Raw genomic sequence first — 26280 nt, 5'->3', positions numbered from 1 at the left:
TTGTAAGGTATCCCCTGCAGATAAGGGAGGACCACTGTACTTAACTCAATGTAGACATTTTTTTTTAGTATTCTTATCTCCCACTAGCTTGTGAGTTCCAAGGAAGGCAAAATTAGAAGTTATGCATTTTTGTATTCATGGTGCATAGCGTAGTAGCTGGCAGATAGTGGTATTTAGTAAATGTTTGTTTAATGACTGAATGAATGCTAATCTGGTAGAACATGCAACATAGGTGGGCAGAGAGGCTGGCTGTGTCCAAGTATGCAGTTTTCACCAAAATATATTTTCTTTTCCTCTTGGGCACAAAACTAGACTGCATTTCCCAGCCTCTCTTACAGTTAGGGGCAGCCATATGACTGACTTCCTGCCAATAGAGTGTGGCAGGATCCACGTATGCCACCTTCAGGCTCTGGCCCTGAAAACCTCCTGCACAATTGTCCACACACTTTCTCATTTCTCATCTGTCAGCCAGAGGCAGAGGATACAGTGGGGAACTCTGAGGCTCCAGGGGGGTGGGGCCATAGATATATAAAGTCTAGGTCCCTGAAGGACAACATAGACAATTTTTGACCCTGCCCTACCCCAACTCATACCTTGTATTAAACTATGATGTAATTGTGAAATAAAGCCTTATCATATTATACTTCTGAGATTCAGGAGTTGTTTTTCAACAGCTAGCCTATCGCGCCTCCAGGATGATGGAAGACTACCACAGGAATTTGGAAATGAAACAATAAAATTCTAAACTCAGAAGGAAACCCTGGAAATAAAAAGTTGAGAAAGAAGTCAGGAGTTTGAGACCAGCCTGGCCAACATGGTGAAACCTCGTGTCTACTAAAAATACAAAAAATTAGCCAGGCATGGTGGCACGCACCTGTAATCCCAGCTATTTGGGAGGCTGAGACAGGAGAATAGCTTGAACTTGGGAGGCAAAAGTTGCAGTGAGCACAGATCAAGCCACTTCATTTCAGCCTGGGTGACAGAGCAAGACTGTGTCTCAAAAAAAAAAAAAAAAAAAAAGGGTAGTAAGACGTGTTTGGTTGGATGTGAGAGAGTACACAAGAAAAGTCTAATAAACGAGGTTGTTATTAGGATCAAATAGAAGTGCACAAAAGAATATTGAAAATGCAAGATGGTATTCAAACTTCAATTAGAAAAAGGAGAGCAGTGCAGGGAGAAGGAAGACTCCATGGCTGTCTTAGGCAGCCCTGGGCTGTCACAGTGTCATCCATCTGTTCTGTCCCTTCTGGTAGCGCCTTTGAGTGAATAAATATCCTGACTGGGAATTTTATTGGATAGATATAAGCCTCCCTATGAAGCTGTTTTCCTGGTTTTGTTTAATTTATACTATGGAAAAACAAAAAGTACCATGACTTATGTTTCATAATTTATGTCACTGAAGCCCATGTTTTTTATTTAAGCACTTTCCCAACACCTACTAAGTTATTTGCTTCCCTGGAACACCAAACCATTGTGTGGTGATGTTACAGGGACACATTCTGATGAATGTGTAAAGAGAGGCTCTATGACATGGGAAATGTGTATCTCCCCAGACTCTGAACTCCATGATTATACTTGTTGTCACCCCCATCCCCTTCTCTAGGACTCAAGTAATTGCTTGACTAATAACTATCCTTTCCCGTTTCCAAAACCTAGGCCCACGACAATATCTGGAACTCATTTATCCTAAGATAGAAATGATTATTAACAGTTTCAATATGTCTCTTTCTAAGAATATTTGCACATTAATAAGAATTACAGCTTTAAGATAACAAAGATGAAGATTTAGAAATAAATGCATTAGGAAACAGAAAATACAATAGAAATACTAAGTATATCTAAGAGTCGATTATTTGAAAACAAGGAAAGAAAACAATAAAACAGAGATGCATTCGCTAATCCAACCAAGATAAAAAAAGGGTGGAGTTTGTCAATTAGGAATGAAGCTAGGAAAGTAACCTAAATACAGAGTGCATTTAAATAATTATAAAGGATTATTTTAATCAACTGTATGACAAATAATTTGATAAGCTCTGTGAAATAGATAAAGCTAATCACAGAAGTAGAAAATATAATAAAAATAGCAAAAACTCACAAAAAGCAAGTTCATCCCCACTCTCCTCCCTAAAAATGTACAGGGCCCAGGTATTTCGCCACTGATTTTCTGAAATTTAAAAGAACAGAGAACTACAATGCTAATTAAACTGTTCCAAAACAAATAAATAGGAAAATTCCTTTTAAGAAACTAGAACAATGCCAAGACTAAAACCCGAGAAAGATATTATGAAACCAGGAAACAACAAATCTATTTCACTATGAGAATTGATTTTTTAAATTATAAAAAATGAGCCAGTAAAATTGATCCTATCTTAAAAGCATAATATAATAGATTTGGACTAGATAAGGCTCATATCAGAAATGCAAGAATGTTTCATTATTAGGAAATATAATATATTTGACTACGTTAATAAATCAAAGGAGAAAAGTGGTATACTCATATTTGCAGATGCTTAAAAGATAGTTGATAAAATGCTAAACATATACTGTGAGACTTCATCTCAAAAAATGTTCTTAATAAAATAGGATTAGATATATTAAAGCATTTTACTTGACAACATAATTTAGTAAAGTCACTGGGCTATTCTATAAACAAACAGTAACCAGTTTGAAAATATAATAGCAACAGAAAGATAGAATACCTGAAAATAAATGTAAGAAATGTGAAAACCCTATAAAGGCAAATTTAAAATGCTACTAAAGGACAAAAAAGGCATTACCTCAGTACAAGGTATGTTATAAATACCCAATCATGGCAAAATTAATCGGTATTTTTTTCACAATCTCAATAATATACCAATAGATTTTTTTTAACTAAACACATTTGTAAACATCACATTTAAAAATAAGCATATGGCCGGGCATGATGGCTTATGCCTGTAATCCCAGCACTTTCGGAGGCCCAGGTTGGTGGATCGCTTGAGCCCAGGAGTTCGAGACCAGCCTGGGCAACATGGCAAAACCCCATCACTACAAAAAATACAAAAAATTAGCCAGGCATGTGGCACGCATCTGTAATCCCAGCTACTTGGGAGGCTGAGGCAGGAGGATCACCTGAGCCTGGGAGGTCGAGGCTGCAGTGAGCCAAGATCGGGCTACTGCACTACAGCCTGGGTGACAAAGTGAGACCCTGTCTCAAAAACACAAAACAAAATGAAAAATAGGCATACAAGAATATTCAGGAAGATTCTGTGAGAAAAATGCAGCCATGAGGGACTATTCATTCTACCATTTGTGGTAATTAAAATAGTGTTGTAACGGCACATGTACATACAAATAGACTAGTGAGATACAAGAGTGGACTTATAAACAGAATCTCCAAATAAAATTTAGCAAATAATACAGGAGAAATTTAACATCATTGGAGAAAAATAGAATGCTTAATAAATAATTCTGGAATAATTAAGTAGCTGAAAATAAGTTGAATTTTCACCTCATCTTTTACCAGAATAAATTCCAGATGGATCAAACATTTAAAGACTAAAATGAAACTATAATTATTACTAGAAGAAAATGGACAGCTTTTTATGTATGCTCAGAGATGAGAAAACTTTTCTTTCAATATATTTTAAAAATCAACACGTCCAAAGTTCTTCAGCCAAGTCCAAAGATATATACAATCTGGTGGTGATATTTATGTTTTGCTATATACTGAATGTTAATAGTTTCACATATAAAAATTGCTAGAAACAAATTTTTATAAAGACCATTAATAAAATCGTAAAAGGATACAAACAGTCCAGAAATAAAAAGGAAGTACAACTACTAAGCATTTGAAAAGATGTTCAACATCACTATAAGAAAAATGCCAGTTAAAATGAAAGTGATATGCATCTCATCATATTTCACCTTTATTCTGTCAAATATCAACAGATTTGGTAACAAACTGTTTTGGCAAGGGTATGGGGGAAACTGGCGCTCCCCCCTACACTTGGTGTATGTTCACTGGAAGTTAATTGGCATCAATTAAAATTTAAAATGTGCATGCTCTTTGGCACATCATTTTCATTATAATTTGCACATGTGGGCAGAAACATATGTACAAAGATATTCACTGCAGCACTGTTGTTACCAATAAGATGGAAACAACCAAATACTTTAAGAAGGTGAGCTGTTAAATAAACTGTGATAGCAGAGTACATTGGATATATTGCTACAATTTGTGTATAAAAAGTTTAATTCATGTATGCAAATTGCATACAAGATCACATATTTATAGACTGTCTCTGGAAATAGAAGGGTTTTTTTTTTGTCCTTCTTATGTCAAACCACAAACAGTAACTGTCAACTTTCCCTTAGTTCCTGAGGAGTTGGTGTTAGGAATAAGACTAGTATGGCTTGTGCAAATAGGGATGGGGGAAAAATGTCAGCTAGGAAAGGGCTTTGGGAACTTTGGAGATCTACACCTGAGTTAGTTGTCATTGCCACCATTATTACTTTTTGATAAAACATCTAATGGTTTTATCAAATTATAGCTAATGATAAAAAAGCTATTATTACATAACTTTTAAAAAGCCAGTTCCAGTCTTTCTTAACTCTTGAGTTATGTAACTCTAGTCTATTGTGTTTGTAAGTGTTACTTGAATCTTCTTCAGAGCACATTAAGAAAGCAGCAAAACCAGTCACCAGTATATTCAGAAGGGTAAGAAAATGTGAGGGATCTGAAAATCATGTCAGATGAGAAATGGTGGAAGAACCTGACCCTTATTCTGTATGGCTTCAGAGGGAACAACTTGCATCAGTGAGTGTAGTCAAAGGAAGCAGAATTTGACTTACTTTAGGGAAGACATTTCCAGTGATGAGAACAATTTGAAAACTTACTGGGCTCTTTTATTGTGATTTAAGTGTTCCTTCTCTAGAATTGCTCAATCAGACCACATTACTGCAAGAAATAGCCATGCACACTTGAAGTATCATCAGCCCACAGTATGACTGTATCTTTTAAGATGGCTTTAAAAATAAAGTCTACTTCCTGCCCAGAGTTTCTTATTCCATTACCTCATCTTCTAGGTCAAGGTATCCAGAATTATAGCAGTTCCACAATGAAGGAAATGTTTATCTCTTGCAAATTTAATTTACTCCTTTGACCTAAGAGATGCCTGGATAATGCTATTATTATTATTATTATTATTATTATTATTTTGAGACGGAGTCTTGCTCTGTCACCCAGGCTGGAGTGCAGTGGCATGATCTCGGCTCACTGCAACCTCTGCCTCCTGGGTTCAAGTGATTCTCCTGCCTCAGCCTCTTGAGTAGCTAGGACTACAGGTGCCTGCCACCATGCCTGGCTAATTTTTGTATGTTTAGTAGAGACGGGGTTTCACCATGTTGGCCAGGCTGGTCTCGAACTCCTGACCTCAGGTGATAACACCTGCCTCGGCCTCCCAAAGTGCTGGGATTACAGGCATGAGCCACTGCGCCTGGCCTGATAATGCTATTATTGAAACACTATAAATTCAAGAATGTGATCAGCACTTTTGCCATTTTTGTGCTATAACCAAAATTTTAAAATTAATGGGCATCATTTACCTGAAGTTATTTGGCAATAAGACGGATTTTAGTTAATCACATTTGAAATTTAATTAATAGGTAACATTTTCAGCAACTGTTTAGCTACACTTGAAAAAGGAAGAATGTGCTGAAGATTCACACATATAATTTAGTCATGTTTCAGGAAGTTTATCCATTTATGAGAAAACCCAGAGAAAGAAGATCTCCACATTATTCTCTAAAAATCAATATCATAATAACATTATATCCCACAAAACTGGCTTCCCCATGTACTTTCCTTATTTTGGCTAATGTCACCATTTTTCTTCTAGATTTCTAGGCTCAAATTCTGAACTTCCATGTAGCCAGTTGTCAAGGTGACAATGAACCACAATTGATAGGATATATTTTGAGGCATCTGACCCTTTCTCCCAACCCATCACAACCTCTGAAGAAAGGGGTAGACCTTGACTACCATGTTCTGTATCTTGTAGCTTGTACTGGCTCTATAATATCCCACCCTGTCACTGACCTCAGCTATTTAGAGAAATGTGGTCCACTCCATCAAGGAGAGCCCATCCACAGATTGGCTGGTGATCTGGGGATAAAAGACCATCTGAACCAACCACATGTTGCTTGCAGAAATTTTGGAACTAGAAAGCTGAAAGACTATTGCCAATTAGCCAAAGAAGTTGAAGCTGAGGTCTCGCATGACAGAGTTAGGATTGTAGATTGCTGGGTCAAACAGAGCCACACGCAAATGGAAGTTATGGGCTGAAAAATCCTGAGTAAATATAAGAAGATGGTCAAGAGGGCATGGAGAAGGGAGCAGACCTGCAGAAAGATGCAGAGATGAGCAATGAGGCATCTCTTCAGAGCCATGGGGGACATGTCCCAGTTTTGGTTTTCTACTCCAATATGAGTCTTGGTGGCATTTTGCTAGTTAAAGAAGTTGATGCATCTACATCTCCAGAATTAAAATATACTACATAAGTAAAATGTGCATACCAACTAATGTCAGTTATAGCACAGAGCTTTCTAAGTATGTCCAAATCTTCACATGGTACTGAGAAATATTATTTGGCATACTGGTGCATGGTAATCACATTTTTCAAGTCATATGTAACTGTCAGTAAATAAGAGCAAAGTAGATTCCAAAGAATATGATCTAATCAACAGAGAAAAAGATAAATTCCAGATACCTCCTCAAAACTTTGCAGAGAAGTGCTTGCTTTCACTGATTCCAGAATTTGCATTTTGCATGCAAACAGACCCCATTCTTTTGTGTGCACCAATCAGGGTAGTGAGTTCTTTGACCATCAAAATATCTGCAAATTTGCATCATTTAAGAAATAGTTATTACATAGAAACTCTTTACAAAGCATTGGGTTAAATCCTGTGCATTATACAAAACATTTAAGACACTGGTGTGCTAAAGAAACGTGGACTCTAACTGGGCAAACAAAATAGAGATTTCTGAAAAGATTGCAATATAGCATAGCTGTATTGTTCTGGTTATCTATTGCTGCGTAATAAAACCACCTGTCATATACATGATCCCAAGGATAACCCCTGTATATTGGCCCACATGTTGTTTACTTCTTCACAGTAGGCTATTAACTCAAAGCCCATAAGCTCTAAACTCAAACTTTTACGCATCCAGTTTTTATATAGTGCAAATAAGCATATTTTAGGCCATTTAGAGCCTGCCTACTTTGCACACTTCAGAAACTGCACCCAATATCTGCTAAGCATAGATAAGAAAAACTCTGGGGCTATAAATGGCTGCTATGGCCTTCTGAGGTCTCTGTCCCACAGTGCTGCTGAGCAGCAGCATCTAGACATGTGAGCCTGCTCTCTGATTCCCATCCCCAGCAGAAGTTCTTGTGCCCTCTTCCCCTTCTGGTGATGGCTCCTCACTGCTGCCTCTGGGAGGTCTTCTGCTGTGAGGGACCTCCCCTCAGATGCAGCCTGAGAGAAAAGTAGAGTCCAAAGAATATGATCTAATCAACAGAGCAAAAGATCCATTCCAGATCCCTTCTCAAAACTTGCAGAGAAGTGCTTTCTTTCACTGATTCCAGAGTATTTGCATTTTGCCTGCCAACAGACCCCACTCTTTTGTGCCTAACAGGGAAAGCTCGTTGTATGCTACTGCCCATCATAGTCTTGTTTTTCCCTCAATATACCTGAAATCCCTTTATAGCTGATACACCTGAAGTCCTTGAACTCCCTACAACACCTTAAAAGCTAATGGCTTAAAACAACCATAGCAGCATTTATTTGGGTCAGTTAGGAATTCAGACACAGTGAGGTGGGGGTGGTTTGTCTCCATACTACTTGGGCACCAGCGGCAGAAGCTCAACCTGGGATCCCGTCCAAGATGGCTTCCTTATTCGCATCTCTGGCACCTTGATGTTCTTTGCCTCTCTCTCTCTCCATAGGATATTTCATCCTCCAGGGCCTTGCCACGTGACTTGTACTTCTTAACTACACGACAGCCTGAGGGTTGTTGGCCTTGTTAGATGGTGGAGGCTTCTCTAAAGCAAGCATTCCAAGAGGCCCGAGAGGAAGCTATGAGACTTCTTATCTAGCCTCAGAAGTCCCAGAATGATATTTACACAGCATTCTGCTGGTCAAGGAAGTCACAAAGGACAACTCTGATTCAGGGAAAGGGAACTTAGACTCCACCTCTCAGTGGAAGAAGTAGGAAAGAATTTGCAGCTATATTTAATCTACCATAATGATTATTTATTTATTTATGTACACTGGGTAAGACAAACAAGAATTGTTTATACTCTATCCCGGGGTCAGCAGACTATAGCCTGTGGGCCAAATCTAGCCCACTCCCTGTTTTTGTAAATAAAGTTTTGTTGGAACATAGTCATGCCTATTTGCTTACATATTGTCTATGGCTGTATTTGTGTTACAGTCACAGAGTTAAGCAATCTCACTGGAGACTGTGTGACTTGTACAGAATAAAATATTTACTATCTGGTCCTTTATAAGATAAATTTGGTAACCCTTGTTAAACACGTAGTTATGTTCTGCTAATGCTTGATTTTAATTGCTTTTCTTAAAAAATTTAAATTGTCTTTTAAAAGTACACTTAACTATAGAAACTCCTTAGAAAAATCAGCTTACAAACCTGCAACTTACACACTGCCATAGACTAACAACAGAGCTAGCCTCTGGGGCAGTAGAGAGTCACTTCTGCCTGCCACCCACAGATGGTATCCACAATTGTGCCATTTATTTATTTATTTATTTATTTATTTATTTATTTATTTAGAGACAGGGTCTGGCACTGACACCCAGGCTGGAGTGCAGTGGCATGATCATAGCTCACTGCAGCCTTGAAATACTGGGGCTTAAGTGTCTTTCCACCTCACCCTCCCAAGTAGCTGGGACTTCAGGCACATGCCACCATGCCTGGCTAGTTTTTAAATATTTTTTGCCACGGTCTCCCTGTGTTGCCCAGGCTGGTCTTGAACTCCTGGCCTGGAGTGATCCTCCCTCCTCGTCCTCCCAAAGCGCTAGATTACAGGCACTAGCCACCACACCTGGCCTGTTCATTTTATTCTTGGCTACTGTACTTGAGAAGTGACTGTGTTTGCTGAATGTGTGCTTAGTTTTAAAGTGTTTTCAAACAGTACTTACCCTATCGAGAGTGATAAGTATAAAAAAAGAATGTTTAAAAGTGTTAAGTAATAAAAGGCAGAGTACAATTATGACAAAAAGTAAAGATAATTCAAAAAGTGAAAATGGTATGAGACTGTGCTTTTTATTTGAGTGCATGGGTTAAATCATTAGAAGAATAGATTCTGAGAAACTAAAAGTGAATCATGAAAAAATGAAACGGACAATAATCATCAGGAAAAATATAAAAATAACACAATGAAAACACACATGTAAGGCCAAAGGAGCAATCTCAGAGGCTTGTACGGCTTAGATCCTGATGTTTATTTAGGAGATAATTTTCAGAGTTTGAGGACTCGAAGGCCAAGTCCTCAGTAAATGGATGGTCTTGGAACTTTTGGCGAAAGATGTATTTCCATAGGTTCAAGGCCTCAGTGATCCGCACAATATCAAAGTGAGAAGAGTGTGAATACCAAAAAAACAATTCCCTACACTTGCAGAGATCAACAAGGAAGAATGTTTTCCACCTCGGCAGACAAAACTGGTCTTTTTATAGAAAAAGATGTTTGACAGTGTACATAGGATTGAGAAAAAAAGAACGTCTAGTTTAAAGCTGCAAAGAACCAACTGACTCTCATTTGCTGAAAATCTTTCCATGAACTAAAAAGCTTTTTAAAATCAACCTGATCTTAAATATTTTAAAAATATATTCGTGAATATTAAGTTCTATAGTTAAAAGAAACAAGGATACAAACAGAGAAGCAAATCAGCACCCACACTCAAATGTGTAATCTATCACTTTTTAACACAGTGACTTCTACCAACACATTAACTTTTGTTGCAAACATTGGGGTAAACTTTTTATGTAATTTTTGATTCATTGTGATTTAAAGCTTAGCTATTAAAAAACCTTTTATTAACATCATCTGCTTATTTTTTATAAATGGAGATGTTTTTCAGTTCTATGTAACCAGAATAAAATATGGAAATATATTTGAATGCTGAAGACTTTCAGTTTCAACCATAACACTCGATTGTCTTTCTGTGTGTATCAAAATAGCCTCATGATTTTTATTGATGGACTTTATCATAAGTTCTAATAAAACACTACTGTCATCTGTTTTATTCATAGGGATTCCACATAAGTATTCTTTAGGGCAAGAAAATGTTCTACTGTCTAAAAGCTCGAAAATCATGACAATAAATGAGAGAAACTATTGGAGATTTTTGAGCAGGAAAGTTACATAATGAAAGTGGTGTTTTAGGAACATACTAATCTGGCTTTTTGTCAGATGCATTGCCCAGAGACCAGTTAAGAAGATACTGTGAACAGCGTCCTGTGAAAATAACCATTATAATACAATAGAAAATGGAACTAAGACCTATTATATCTGTTGGAAATCATGAGAGGCATAAAACAAAGTGGTTGAAAAATTATGTTTACATACCAAATAGATATTTTGAAAGGCTTTTCACCTTCAAGCTCTATGATTTCTTCTATTTTGTCTTCAAATAAAAAATGTAAAAAAGGAAGAAATGACACTACAGAGAGTGTTGAGAGAGATCACTAATATAGAAAAAAGCACCTAGCAAATTGTTACCCTACCTCTTTTAAAATGCTTCTGGTTGGTTGAACAGCATTGACTAGATACGAGAATTCTTTGAACTGAACTTTTGGCAATGAAAGTCTCCCTCCAGTCCCATCTTTAACCTCAAAATATTTTTCCGTGATTTTACAAAATTATTTGTCAAAGATAATAAATATTCTTTCTGGAAAATTATAGAAATTCATATGAGCAAGCAAAAAATTAAAGTTACTTGAAATTCTACAACTTAGATGGAATTGTTTGAAAGACTATCCACTTTTAATGTATAGTCTCTCCAATATTATTCTATACAAATATCTACCAGTAAACACACAAGGTTTCAGATGAAACAGGATTGTACTATACATTCAGCTAAATGTTTCGAAAATGTGTCTATTACATATTATTAGTTAAATATTTAGCATCCAGGGGATAGTTATTTAATAAATATCAATGGCCCGAAATCTAATGTACAATTTTAAGCAGACTAGCTTGAAATTTAAATTTAATTAAAATTATGGTCATAAGATATGCACGATCTCTAAAACATAATAAATTTAATCTGTATCCAATCATAGATTTTGAGTCAAAGTATTTACAAACACCAGTCCCTTTTAAATTCAGTATTGGCTTGGCCCCATTGTAACCAGAATTTAGTATCCCAAAGGTCCATCTGAACATTTCACCATGTCGGGTCCATATGAACATCTCAACATGTTGGAACAAAATAGACTCCAGAGTATAACTATTTTATTCTACCCAGATCATCACAAGTCCAATATTTCCAATTGATGGTATCAGTAAGGCACAATTTTGCTGCCTTAAATTGGTGTTTTCTCCCATCCTTCTCCTTCCTCAGCAAGAGTCGTTAAAACTTTATCTCATTTTTCATTATTCTGCTTCCCGATACTTTCACCGCATAAGGATATTGAACCTTTAGTGATTCAATGACTGGCTCAAAGGACATAATCAGTTACAGGAAGGTCTAGGACTTGACTCCTTGATGCTTCATTTTTCTCTTGGCTTGAATACAAGGGCTCCTGACACCATACCTATTGCCTTATGTCAAAAGGCATGATATATAAGTCCTGGAAGCCCTCATTGACACAGTTCCACTTATAGCAGTGATTTTGTGACACAGGACTTCAGGATAGTGTGTGGCAGACACAGATCGTATGAAAAACAAAAATCACAACCACAAAAAGTCTTTCACATTACTCGAAATTGCATGTTATCTCTCTGTGAATTAAAGCCAGATTCACTAACCAACACCAGTTTTTTACTTATCAGATTGGCAACAGTGAATAAGTTGAACAAAATTCTGTTTCTGAGGCTATGGGGTAATAGGTACTCTCATACATTGCTAGTGGCAGAACCCAATGGCACAACCCCATAAAGGACATTTTGGCAATATTTTTAATAGTTACAAATGTATTTACCCTTTGACCCAGCAGTCTCACTTCTGGGAATGCATCTTACTGACACATCTGCACACATCAAAATGATTTATGTCTAAGGTTATTCATGATGGCATTGTTTGTGAAGGCAGAAGATTAGAAACAACCCAAGTGTCTATCAGCAGAGTGGTTAATTAAATTATGGTACATGCACACAATGGAATATTAGGTAGCTGTGAAAAAACAATGAGGAAGCATAAGATGTCCTGATAAGGAAAAATCTCGGGGAAATATTGTTAAAGATAAAACTCAAGGTGTGGAGTAAAGTGATGATAATCTACATTTTATACAAGAAGTGGAGGAAGCAATATGAACAATTAATACAAGCAGTTATTCATAGGGGGAGTAGGAATGAGATAGATAGTGCAAGGTAGGACGGAGCCTTCTCAGTGTTTACTTTGTTCAAGTTTTTTAAAAAGTTTTAAATAAATCATTTGAATATTACTTATTAAAACAAAAACTAAATAAATGTTTCGAAGACATATATTTACTTTCATTGTTCTAGTTAAATAACAGGCCTAGAGTGCCCTAAATCCTTTCTGGCTTAATCATTTTGAATGGGAACATTAAAGTATCTTCTTCGATGAGCTCTCTTGTTGCAACAAAAAGGTTAAGAAAAATATTAAATCAATGTACTCATCATTTCGCTTGATAATCACCTAGTAGTTTGCTGCTTTATGGCAATAAGCTATCTAGGAATATCCTAAGTAACACTGTGGGCTTTTCTCACTTTCCCAACTCTGCCTTTTAGGAAGAGTGATAGGACAGCAGCACGTCCCTATTCCAAATATATCTATGTCATGACTGAGAGGAAAATGGAAAAACTACACTTTGATATGGATAATCATTTGTTTTAATAAATAACACAAAAGATCACAGGAAAGTGACATGATTAAGCTGAGTGCAGAGAATTGTCAAATTTTTTTTTAAAAAGCTTGTGTATGCAGCAGAGTCAAATAGTAATTTGATTAGAATAGAGGGCCCAGTTGAATAAAACAGATATAATTCATTAACTTGATAGGATCATTTTCAAATCTTCACTTTACATGTCATTACATGGGCACATTTTGCTCCTCAAAAATCAGGCTTTCCTGGCCGGGTGCAGTGGCTCAAGCCTGTAATCCCAGCACTTTGGGAGGCTGAGGTGGGTGGATCACTTGAGGCCAGGAATTCAAGACCAGCCTGGCTAACATGGTGAAACCCTGTCTCTACTAAAAATACAAAAATTAGTCAGGTATGGTGGTGGGCACCTGTAATCCCAGCTACTTGGGAGGCTGAGGCAGGAGGCTCGCTTGCACTGCGCTCCAGCCTGGACAACAGAGCGAGATTCCATCTCAAAAAAAAAAAAAAATTCAGGCTTTCTTAGGATTATGAGTTCTGCTTCAAAATAAGATTTCTGTAATAAAGTTGAAGCAGGAAAACACAAAGCTCTTAGGGTTGGAGTGAAATTTTGCATTAATGCTCTATTACCAGAATTATATATCATTATTATACATATTATTATTTTTAAAAATGAAATGAACACTAGCTGTGGGATTTTAGAAAGGGCATTTAACCATCTCTGAGCTCCAGTTTCCTTACCTGTTCATAGGGATGATAATAATATCTTGATCATAGGGTGTTGTAAGAAATAAATGAGTTAATGGATTTGAGAATGTGCTTAATACCATGCCTGATATTAAATGCTCATTAAGTGGTGGCTAATATTTTGATCTTTTTGAATATCAACATTCCTATAAGAATTTATTAGTTTTACTATACATAGTCACGTTCTCAGAAATGTGTTGTTAGGTAATTTTGCCATTGTGTGACCATCATAGAGTATACTCACACAAACCTAAATAGTGTAGCCTACTACACATGTAGGCTATCCGGTATAGCCTATGCCCCTAGGCAACAAACCAGTGCATCATGTTACTGTACTAAATACTATAGGCAACTGTAACACATTGGTAAGTATTTGTGTATGTCAACATAGAAAACATACAATAAAAATACAGTGTTATAATCTTATGAGACCACCATTGTATATGCAGTCATTGACTAAAACATCATTTTGCAGTGCATGACTATACACACACACACTCACCCATATATAACATTTGTGATATAAATTCTAATAACAATAATGCTTATGATATGCTAATTGTAAAACAGGGATGTGAAATTCAATGAATATTATGATTTAACAACAAGAAATATACAAGTACAGGCCAGGCGCAGTGGCACATGCCTGTAATCCCAGCACTTTGGGAAGCTGAGGCAGGTGGATCACCTTAGGTGAGGAGTTCGCGACCAGCCTGGCCAACATGGTGAAACCCCATCTCTACTAAAAATACAAAAAATTAGCCCGGCATGATGGCGCAAGCCTGTGATCCCAGCTACTCAGGAGGCTGAGGCAGGAGAATCGCTTGAACCTGGGAGCGGAGGTTGCAGTGAGCCAAGATCGTGCTATTGCACTCCAGCCTGGGTAACAAGAGTGAAACTCCATCTCAAAAAAAAAAAAAAAAAAGAAATATTAAGTACAATAATAGTGGAAGTATTGGAATAGTAAAACTATTAGTGACTATTCTTTTCTCTATTTCCCAAATGTTTTCTAAAAATTTTTCTAACTTTATAATGACAATAAGGATAATGTAATAAACTTGGCAAGGGAGAAGAAATGAAAATAAATTGTGAAAAGGAATAAACTACCTTGATTGAGGTTATAATTTCTCTCCAACCCTAAGAGCTTTTGTGTTCTCCTTCTTCAGCTATATTACAAAAATCTTATTTTGAAGCAGAACTCATAATCCTACAAGAAAGCCTGATTTTTTTTTTTTTTTTTTGAGGTGAAGTCTTGCTCTGTTGCTCAGGCTGGAGTACAGTGGTACAATCTTGGTTCAATTCAACCTCTGCCTCCCTGGATCAAGCGATTCTCTTGCCTCAGCCTCCCAGGTAGCTAGGATTACAGGTGCCCACCACCACACACGGCTAATTTTCATCTTTTTAGTAGAGACAGGGTTTCACCATATTGGCCAGGCTGGTCTTGAATACCTGGCCTCAAGTGATCCACCCACCTCAGCCTCCCAAAGTGTTGGGATTCCAGGCTTAAGCCACTGTACCCATCCAGGAAAGTCTGATTTTTGAGGGGCAAAATATGCCTATGTAAAACTACCTTGATTGAGGTTATAATTGAGGGTCCACCCCAATCCCAACTTCACTTTCAACTCACAAATACTCTACATCTACTACTGCAACTGAGAGTAAACTCTTCTTTCTGGGACGGGTATGTAAAAAGTGCTTCTAGGGACAGAGAGTGAACTGCATCAGAAGAAGGAAGAAAATATATAATTGAGAGCAAGAAAAGAAAAATTAAATTTTTAGCACAGATCAGACACTGCTAGTTGCCTTCCCAAGCTCTTCTTTTCTTCTGTAGTAACAGAACCCCAATTTTGTCATGATAGTTAGGGACTCTGTTAAAAATATCTTCCCAGAGTCCCTTGCAGCTAGGGCTGGCCATGGAACCCAGTTCTGACCAATGAATGTAATCAGAAATCTCTGGGGAAACTCAGCCCTTTTGGCTTTCTGCCCCTTTCCCCTTCCTCCTGTCAGGAATGCAGATATTTACTTGGTCTATAGCAGTCATGTTATAATTGTGCTTATGAACGTTACAAGGTAAGCTTGGCAGGACAAAAAGTGTGAGTCTGGGTCCCTGCCTGGCTCATCAAGTAGCTGCACCTTCCTGGACAAGTCTTCTTGTTAGGTGAGAAATCTGAGTTCTTCTATGCGAAAGCTACCATGAGAATATTTTCCTTTTTGCATGCGATCAAATTCTAACTGATACACACCAACTTCCGGTTATGCCTAAAGCTAATTGAAGAGAAAGACACTGTTTTCGAATCTTCAGTTGATACAAATAGGGTCAGAGTTCAGAAGAACTGAAACAGGCCACACAAACTCCACTTGCTCATCATGCATTCATTTAGCTATGGCCTGATTAAGCTACGTGGGCTCTGTTCTGGAAGGCCACCCAGAGCCTGTGTATCGGTGACCTTGCGTGTTTTTTTTTTAATGTGGAAAAGTTACATTAAAAAGTCACATATGTGGCATGCCTTCTGATATTGTTTGGCTCTGTGTGCCCACCCAAATCTCATCTCAAATTATAATCCCCATGTGTCAGGGAAGGGACCTAGTGGGAGGTGATTGGATCATGGAGGCGGTTTCTCCCATGCTCTTCTTGTGATAGTGAGTGAGTTCTCACAAGATCTGATTGTTTAAAAATATAGCACTTCCTCCATCGCTGTCTCCCTCTCCTGCCACCATATAAGACATGCCTTGCTTTCCATTCACCTTCTCTCATGATTCTAAGTTTCCTGAGGCCTCCCAGCCATGCAGAACTGTGAGTCAGTTAAACCTCTTTTCTTTATAAATTACCCAGTCTCAGGTAGTTCTTTATAGCAGTGTGAAAACAGACTAATACACATTCTTTTACACCCTGAGTTTGTGTGTCTAAATACAGTCCTTGAATTATATGTATGAATGCTAATCAGCAGCAACTTGGATTGCTTCGGGCAGAGGATGTGGTTCCACAGTGAAATACAGGAAGTAACACAGCAACAGTGATTTCTGTCAATAGGAGGGAACACTTCCAAGGAGTATTCTACCTGGAAGGTGTCTTCTTCCCCCTCAAAATTCAGCCTGGCCTGTAAAACCCCTCCCATCACCACAGCAGAACAGATGCAGCACAAAGAGACCCAAAAAATGAGAGGTCATTTCTGAATATAAGGTAACTGTGATCTGCCTGTCACAGCGTGGACATCCTTCTGTTTTAGCAGAGAGAGTGTTAGTGTTGGTGTGTGGCCATTGTTAGCACATCCATGGCAAATGAGACAGTCAGGACTTAGATCCAGGTATATCTGACTGCCATGATCTCACCATTACACAGCATGGCCTCATTTTCAAATTGATAACTGCCTGAAGTGTGAACTTCAAGTAGTTGTAGACTGAGATTAAGAATTCTCAGCACTCAGGGGAAGGGAAGGATGAAGGAGGAAAAATAGTATAAATGTATTTATTATCACTGAACTGTACACTTAAAAATGGTAAAGCTGGTAAATTATATATGTACATTTTATTTCAATAAAAATAAATTTGAAAAAAGGGAAAAAAAGAATTCTCAGCATAACAAGAGATGGCTCCAATACTGACCCATAGTCTATACAACCCTTCCCTTTAGCACAGCAGAGCAGATAGAGCACAAACAGGTAGCCCAATGTGATGCTCAGAAAGTTCAGTGGATCCTGAAGGACAAAAACCTGCATTCGGAGAATCTCATGTAAGGCGGAGCTGCCCCATCTCCCGTTCTTTTCACAAGTATGTGTTGTCCAAGTTTGATTAAGTCACGATTGCTTAGTGAGAGAGGAAAGTATTGGAATAACAAGCACAATCCTTTGCATTGAAATAAACTAATATGCACTGACAGCTCACTGGAGAGGCATCATCTGATATGGCAATGGTTGAGCCTCACTGCATTTGCCAGTCAGGGTCCTGGAAGGTAACACGTGGCACAATCAAATTGAGTAATTTGGAGAGTTTAATAAAGGGACTATATGCAAAGATGTGCACAAGGTTTGGGAAAAGCAACACGTGATGGAACAACACCCTGTAACCTGGAGCAGCAGAGAGCTTTCAATACCTCAAGATCTGAAGTGACAAGAGTCAAAAGTACAGACTGGGTATAAGAATGAACTTCCTGACAGGAGCTAAGAAATGGGATAAAGGCATTCAGTTTGAGACAACTGACAACTGAAGAGGGAGAATGAATACCCTGACTTGATGTTTCTTTCACCCTCTAATTTCCTGCTGGTATTTCTTTTTAGCTGAACTCTACTGAAAGACTTCGGCTAATGGACTTCATTGGTCAAGTCTAGATGGTTTAGCTTCCTGGTACACAAAATATGGTGGAGAAAGGTGGAAAGTGGATCTTGAAGGGCAGGCAGAAGACAACCTACATATTCCAAATGGTTCCAATAGAGAGACTTTCAATAAGAGGCTACTTATGGAGGTTTGGTCACAGTTAAGAGGCCTAAGAAAAATGTTAGAGCACCCAGGAACTAGCAGTATCAGGAATTACCACCCCTAGAACTGAAGGGATGAGCAGTAGTAATGCTGTTACTGGAACTTGGAGAATTGCAGTCTTGGGGAAGAGGAGGGAGAGACTATCATTTCAGGGAAGTTCAGTCTTTGTGAGGAAGTGGTCTTGAAGCAAACAGGAAATGGAGAAGAAATACTGTCCTCTCTCCCATTCTTCAATCTTCTTGCCAGTTCCCGCTACTTACTCAACCCAACCAGAAACCAACTAGGAAGGAACTGGAATGTTGAAGTCTACAGGGCTCAGCTTCCTAAGACAGAGCAATGCCAGGAGGGGTGGACGTTGCATCTGGGGGAGAATAACTGCACAATTTAACATGTAAATTATTCTATCTCTTGTGTTATCTCTCTTTTTACCTTTGGGAATTATTCATTCATTTGTTTTCAACAAATATTTGCTGAGCACCTATTATGTGCCAGCCACTCTTCTTAATTTAGAGATAGAACATAAAAAAAGACAGAAAAGGTCTTAGGTTTCAGGAAGTTTATTACACACCGAAAGGGAGGACGAAAATAAACAAATACTATGCTATGTATATATACAAGATAATTTTAGATGCTGATATGGGCTATAAAGGAAATAAAACATGATGGGTCAATTGAATGGGGAGGTGGGAGGGCCCATCTCTATAGAGGGGCCATTTGAGCAGAGACTAGGTGAGAACGGTAGAGCCAGCCACGCAAGGATCCAGCAGAGGCAAAGCATTCCAGGCAAAGCAAAGGGCAAATGCAAAAAAGACTGAGAGAGGGGAGTAAGTTTGATATGTTCAAGGATCAGAGTAAGGGACACCTGAGCTGGAGCATAAAGGTAGAAAATGAGGTTGGTGCTGGGGCCAGATCAAGGAATGTCCCGTAGGCCATGGTAGGTAAATGGAGGAAAAATTACTAGGAGGCTTACTGCAGTAGAGACATGCTCTGATTCCTCTTCTAAAAGATCACTCTGACTGCTGTGTGGAAAAAAGGTTGGGCGTTGGAGTAGGAGAGGGGGAAATGCAGCAAGAATGGAAGCAAAGGGACAAGCTAGGAGGCTTATTGCAGTGGTCAGGTGAAAAATGTTGTCAACTGAGATGGTCAATGGAAGTGGCAAGATGTAATTGTATTTGGATATATTTTGCAGGGACAGACATCAGGACTCACTGGCAGACTGGATATGGAGCTCAAAGAAAGGTAGTACATGTGAAGTATACCTAAGCTTTTGGTTTGAGTAGGTGGGTGCATGGTTTTACCACTTACTCAACTGGGAGAAGAAACAGTTCTCATTTAGAAACTTCTACACAGACACACAAAGACACACTCTAACATCCTTTGGCCACTCATCTCTTTTCTGGCTGGAAAGAGATGAGTGGCCAAAGGATGTTATTTCACTCTTTGAAATTAATGAGTAACCTACTGGGTGATATTATACAAGCCAAGTTCTACCACTTCCCATCAAACTTTTAAAAAATGTTTTCTATATCCACTCTTTTCATTTCCTTTGCCTATACTCATTTGATGCTTCCACCCACAACGATTGGCCAGTACTGTTCTTGCTAGCATCTCTATGTAATTAATTCAGAGAACACAAATTAATCTTAGGGTTTTGGATTACTGAATTGGCTGGAGTGAGGAACGCTACTACATGATAGGGGCAAGGAGGAGTATGTCTGGAATACAAAAGATTCTCTAGTGGTGTCTCCTAGCATTCCCTTGTCCTGTGATTAAATCAATGGAAAGCTACATTAACACAATACAGGAAAGCTAATGGCCCACACCCTTTATGAATGACGGTTTGAGTCACCCCACCATGACCATCAGAGGTCCTTGCTGAGGGTGAAGGGAATAGGGAATGGGTACTGAAAGGAGGTAGTTATAAATACCAATTGCAATCATGTGACCAGTTGCAAAAACAAGAACTATAATAATGTAAAGTGTTTCTTCCTTATTTAAATTATTTTCTTCCCTGCTACCATTCCTGTACCTTCTAAAATAATGTATTAATAGTATTAATCTTATACCTCAGTGTTAAATTATAGGATGCTAAAGGGAGAGTGTGGCATAGCTAGAAGAGAAATGAATATCACACAAAGGTGGAAAAAGGGACTTGGCCTCCTCTTTTGGGAAAAAGAGTCTTTCTTAGTTCAGACTGCCACAACAATGTAACATAACTGGGTGGCTTATGAGAAAAACAGAAATTTATTTCTCACAGTGTGGGAGTCTAGATTTATGAGATCAGGGTGCCAGCCTGGTTGGGGTCTGGTGAGGGCTGTCTTCTGGATTGCAGACTGCTGACTTCTTGTATCCTCACATGGTGGAGAGAGGGCAAGAAAGCCTCTGGAGTCTCTTTCATATAGACACTAATTCCATTCACAAGGCCTTCATCCCCATGACCTTCTAATATCATCGCACTGAGAGTTAGGATTTCAACATATAAATTTTGGGGTGACACAGACATTGTCAGTTGCAGAGTCCTCATGTTTTGATGTTGCATGGGGAATATTTTCATCAGGTTAGGCCAAAGCACGATTTTGTTATTGTCTTTATTCAGAAGACAAGTACAATCAAAAGAGTTACATATTGATGGGAAGCTGGCAAAGAGTAGACTGTAGTTGCTTTGCACACTTTTAGACTTAGTTAAGATGGAGCTACATTTCTCAGAATTCTCTTTCCTGCATGCTTCTGATTTGGCATTGCCCATAAGAGAAATTTGCATGAGATTGGGAAGGTAGAAGTGAAGCTGCAGGCATCTTGTCACACTCTGAAAGTCGCTGCTGAGCACCTGGCACCGTGGCAGTTCACACATGCTCTCACTGCTCTGCTAGCCCACCTTGTTGGTATGAGATAACATCCAGACCCTCCAGCTCCTGCTGAATCTCCTTCAGTTTCCGGAAGTCCTGGCCAAGTGCATGTGCAGCTCCATGGGAAAAGGGGCAAGCTTCTCTTGTAGGTTTCCCACTGCATTGAGGTTGTTGGTAGTGAGAACAAGACTCAGTCCTGGTTTCCCTTTGCTCTCATCACGTGCACCCTTCTTTCCTTACTGCTTGTCTGGCTGACCTAAATCAACTTTAGACTTAATACTAGAAACAGAGGCAACAGCTTGCATAGATTGCTCCACCAGCTTCTACAACTGCATCCCACCCAATCTCCACAATAAATACCATATTCGGTTTCACTTACAGCAGTCCTGCTTCTTTGGTCAAATCCAAAACCTTCCTAGATGTCCGGGCATTTGTTTTTAATCCAGAAACAATCTAAGATCATGCAATATATTAGTTTTCACATATTTTTCATCTCCTCAGACTAGAGCAGTTCTCCAGCCCCCTCCACAATCTTTTTGTTTCTTTCATAAAGTTGACATTTTTTAAGAAATCTAGGCCATTGTTTTGTAAATCTTCAACTTGAATATGTTATTGTTTTCTCGTGATCCAATTTTGGTTAAGGGTTTTGGCAGGGGTTCCGTGACAGCTTTTATTTCCTGCTCAGTGCTCACCTCCAGATACTCTTGATTTCAGTTTGTTTCATTATTGCTAACGTTAAGTTTGATCTCTTTGTTAAGGTGATATCTGAAAGATTTCACCTTTGAGAATGTAACTTTTTTCTTTGAAATTAATGAGTAACCCACTGGGTGATATTATAAAATTATATGCACATCCTGCTCCCCAGTAATCTCTCACCTAGTGATTTGAGCATTCATTGATGATCAATTACTACTATAGAGGTTGCAAAAGAGTGACTTAAAATTTTATCATCCCTTTAACATTTATTAGTTGGCATTCTTTTGTAGAGAACTTTCCATTCTCTCACCTTCCTTTTTAATGCTTTTGCTATCAGCATGAACTCATAAATTTTATTTTTTAATGCCGTGCATTTAATGCCATTATCTCATTTTTCATTCTGATGCTCAAATTGTCAAAACTTCAACCAGTGCTCCTTTAAACCAGCAACTATGTTCAATAATATTCTATAAAAGTTTCCTACAGCTCTCTTAAACATAGTTTAATATATTCTAAATACCCATAATTTTGTTATTAAAATTATATCTTTTAATTTCACTTTAATATGTTCATTGCTACATATAGTTATATAACACAAAATTTTGTGTATTTATTTTGTATTCATCAACCTTGCTATATTCTCTTATTAATTTTAATAATTTCTATTTAGATTATTTAAAAGTTTCTGTTTACTCAGTCGTATCGCCAGCAATTATGGCAGTGCTGCTACTTTTTTCCCCAAAACTTATATGTTTCATTTTGTTTTTGCCTAGATGCACTGGTTTAGATCTCCAGTAAAAAGACGGAATATAAGTGGTGCTAACAGGCATTCTTATATTATTCCTAATATTAAATAGAAAGATATTAGCATTTCATCATTAAGAATGTTTGCTGTAGGCGTTGGCAGATAGCCTCTATTGGATTAATGGATTTCACTTTTATTATTAGTTTTTTAAGAGGGTATTTAAAAAAAGTTATAGATAGATGCTGAATTTAAACACTTTTTTATTCTATTGAAATGATCATGTAATTTTTATCCTTCAAATTGTTTTTTGTGATAGACTATATAAATGTTGACTTGTTTGTGATCTGTTGTCCTTTTGAAGATTGTTGTAACTATATTCATGAGTGGAATTATCTTTAATTTTCCTTTCTGGTAGTGTACTTGTCAGGTTTTTGTATGGAGGTTAGGTTAACCTACTAAAATGATTTGAGGAATGCTCTCTTTTTCATATGTAAAAAAAAAAATATGGCCAGCATGGTTGCTCATGCTTGTAATCCCAGAACTTTGAGAGGCTGAGGTGGGAGGGTCCCTTGAGGCTAGGTGTTTGAGACATGCCTGGGCAACATAGTGAGACCCCATCTCTAAAACAACAACAACAACAAATTAGCCAGGCATAGTGGCACATACTTGTAGTTCCATCAACTTAGGAGGCTGAGATGAGAAGATTGCAGGAGCCCCGGAATTCAAGGCTGCAATGAGTTGTGATTGCACCACTGCACTCCAGCCTGGATGACAGAGTGAGACCCTATCTCTTTAAAACAAACAAACAAACAAACAAACAAACAAAACAGTAACAGTAGCATGATTTCTCTGTTGAGCATTGAATAGAACTCAAAGTTGAAGTCAGTTGGATGTGGAGATATTTTTTCCTTATTTTGGAAAGGTCTTTACTAATTCAAATTATTTAAATGGTAAAGAATTACTTAAGTTTTCTTCTCCAGTCAATTTGAGGAAAATGCATTTTTTCCAGGAATTTGTCTGAAATTTCAAATATATTGGCATAAAATTGTTTATATTTTATTAACTTGTTTTTGCTTCTAGTAATGTCTCTTCATTCCTGATAGTAGTAATTACTCTTAGTTCTCATTCTACCTTTACACACACACACACACACACACACAGACACACAGACACACCCACATTTAGTAGTACTAGAATTTTGTCAATTTAGTTACACTTTTAGAGAACCAAATTTTGGTTAAATTGTTCCTCTCTGTTGTATGTCTTCCATTTAATTATCTTCTGTTCTTATTTTTATTGTTTTCCTTCTTCTCTATAAGTTCATTTTGCTGGTTTTTTTCTAACTTCTTGCAATGGATGCTTAGCTCACTAAATTTCAGCCCTTATATTTCTAATATACATTTAAGATTATACATTTTCCTGTTAAAACTACTTTACCTATCCCACAAGAGTTTGTTAGAAGTGACTCATGGGTTAGTTAGTGTACTATTCTTAATTTATAAGTGTGGAACTATTTTACTTACACTTAAAAAAATAATATCTGGTTTAATTGGATGTGATAAGAAAATGTGCTTTATCTTACTTCAGCCCTTTGAAATGCAGTAAAATTTGCTATGGCTCATTTTACAGTCAATTTTTGAAGATGCTATATCTGTGCTTAAAAAGACTGTGTATGCAACAATGGTTGAATTTGTACTTTACATCAATTGTATTAATTTTATTTTTCAAATATTATGTAGTCTTAGTAATTTCCAATCTTATATGATCTTACTAATATATTCTTACTTGTTTCTCTATAAACTGCTGAGAAAAGTGTATTAAAATTACCCATTGTAATTGATTTTTTTTCCCCTGTAGAAACAGGCCCTCAAACTCCTGGCCTCAAGTGATCACTCCGCCTCAGCCTCTCAAAATGCTGAGATTACAGGTGTCAACTACTGCATCCAGCATACTTGATTTTTCTTTATTTTTATTTTTATTTCATTGAATTATTGTTTTGAATAATAGAGTTTGAAGCTGTAATATGTGAAGACAAATATAAAATTGTTATATTGTCCTGGTAAGTGAAACCTCTTAATCAATATATAGGAATTCCTTATTTTTTTTTTAGTAATGCATTTTACCCAAGAATGTTTAGTGTAAGTATTTCCATGGTATTTCTTTTTGCATTCCCTCATTTTTGATCTTTTGTATACACATATTTGAGTTATGTTTGTTACAAATATCATGCAGTTGTATTTTTTATCCCTTCTGACAATATTTGTTCTTTGGTTCATTTAGTCTGTTTACATTTAATGTAACTTACTGCAGATTGTGTAAATTTAGCAACATATCTGGTATTTTATATTTTTCCCACCTATTCTACTTACTTTTTCCTTTTCACTGGTTGATTGTGTATGTGTGTTATTGTTTTTAATTACTTGTTTTAAAATTTATCACTTTTTCCTCTTTTTTAGTGGCTACCCTAGAAATTTTAAACTGTGTACTTAATATAAACAAAATTCCAAAGTAATCACTACTTTCACTTTTTATAAGATCCTTAGAGCATTTTTAACTCAACTTACCCCCTCCTGATTCACATATTTTAGTTATTTACTTTACTTTTACTTTTTAAAAATTCTACTGTTATTATTACTATTTTATACTGTTCATGCTCATGTAGATATACTCACAATTTAACTTGTTCTGCACTCTTCATTCTTTTTGCCATCTAGTCCTATTTCCCTTCTGCCTGAAGTGCATTCTTTTGAATTTTCTTTAGTGAATATCTACTGGTTGCAAGCTTACTCTGTAACTGTCTGAAAATGACCTTATCTTGGGTCTGTTTTAAAAATATGTTTTCACTAGGTTAGAAGTCACTTTCTCTCTCAGTATGCTGAAAGTAGCCTTCACTGTTTTTTAGTTTCTATTATCACTACTGAAAACCAGTCTGCTGTTGCTCTTCTGCTGGACCTGTATTGGGTTCAGTGATGTTCCCCCAAAATTAATATCCATCCAGAACCTCAAAATGTGACCCTATTTAAAAATAGGGTATTTTCAGATGTAGTTAATTAAAGATCTCAAGACAAAATCACCCTGGATTCAGGGTGGGTCCTAAACTAATGACTTTTGTCCTCATAAGAAGGGGAGAGGACAGACAGAGGCACCTGGGGGAGGATGCCATATAAAGTAGGAGGCAGAGATTTGAGAAATGCAGTTTTAAGCTAGGGAATGCCCAGGATTGCCAGCAACCAATAGAAGCTAGGGAAGAGGCATGACGTAGAGCCTCCCTCATTGCCTCCAGAAAGAACAAACCCTGACAACACCATGAGTTCAGACTTCAAGCTTTTAGAAATGTAAGAAAAAATGTTTGTTATTTAAGTGGCACAGTTTGTGGCAATTTATTACAGCAACTCTGGAAGCTAATACAGATTTTGTTACTGAGAAGCAAGGTGCTGCTGTAACAGATACCTAAACATTTACTAAAATACTGTAAATAAGTATCTAAAAATGAAGAGTGGCTTTAGAATCGGTTAATGGGTGGAGACTGGAAGAATTTTAAGGTGCTTATTAGAAAAAAAAAAGGCAGGCTACTTTGGAGAGGCCATTGGTAGAAATATGGATGTTAGAGATGCTTCTGATGAGTTCTCAGAAGGGAATGAGGATATGTTACTAGAAACTGGAGGAAAAGTAATGCTTGTTATAAAGTGCAGAAAATGTGGCTGAAT

The 26280-nt window shown here is 37.4% G+C and overlaps 1 long non-coding RNA gene across 1 annotated transcript in view; it reads right to left on the bottom strand.

Annotated features, from left to right (window-relative positions):
- The window catches only part of LOC105377999 (uncharacterized), a 92281-nt gene that overhangs the window by 19207 nt on the left and 46794 nt on the right, over positions 1–26280 (bottom strand). Inside the window, exon 5 of the long non-coding RNA XR_942986.3 lies at positions 6750–6875. This is a non-coding gene — a long non-coding RNA (uncharacterized LOC105377999). The remainder of the gene's footprint in view (positions 1–6749; positions 6876–26280) is intronic.

The sequence above is a fragment of the Homo sapiens genome, chromosome 6 (genome assembly GCF_000001405.40).
Source record: "Homo sapiens chromosome 6, GRCh38.p14 Primary Assembly".
Classification (NCBI taxonomy): Eukaryota; Metazoa; Chordata; class Mammalia; order Primates; family Hominidae; genus Homo; species Homo sapiens.
The sequence above is the reverse complement of the archived record's forward strand: the minus strand, read 5'-3'. Positions and strand labels throughout refer to the sequence as shown.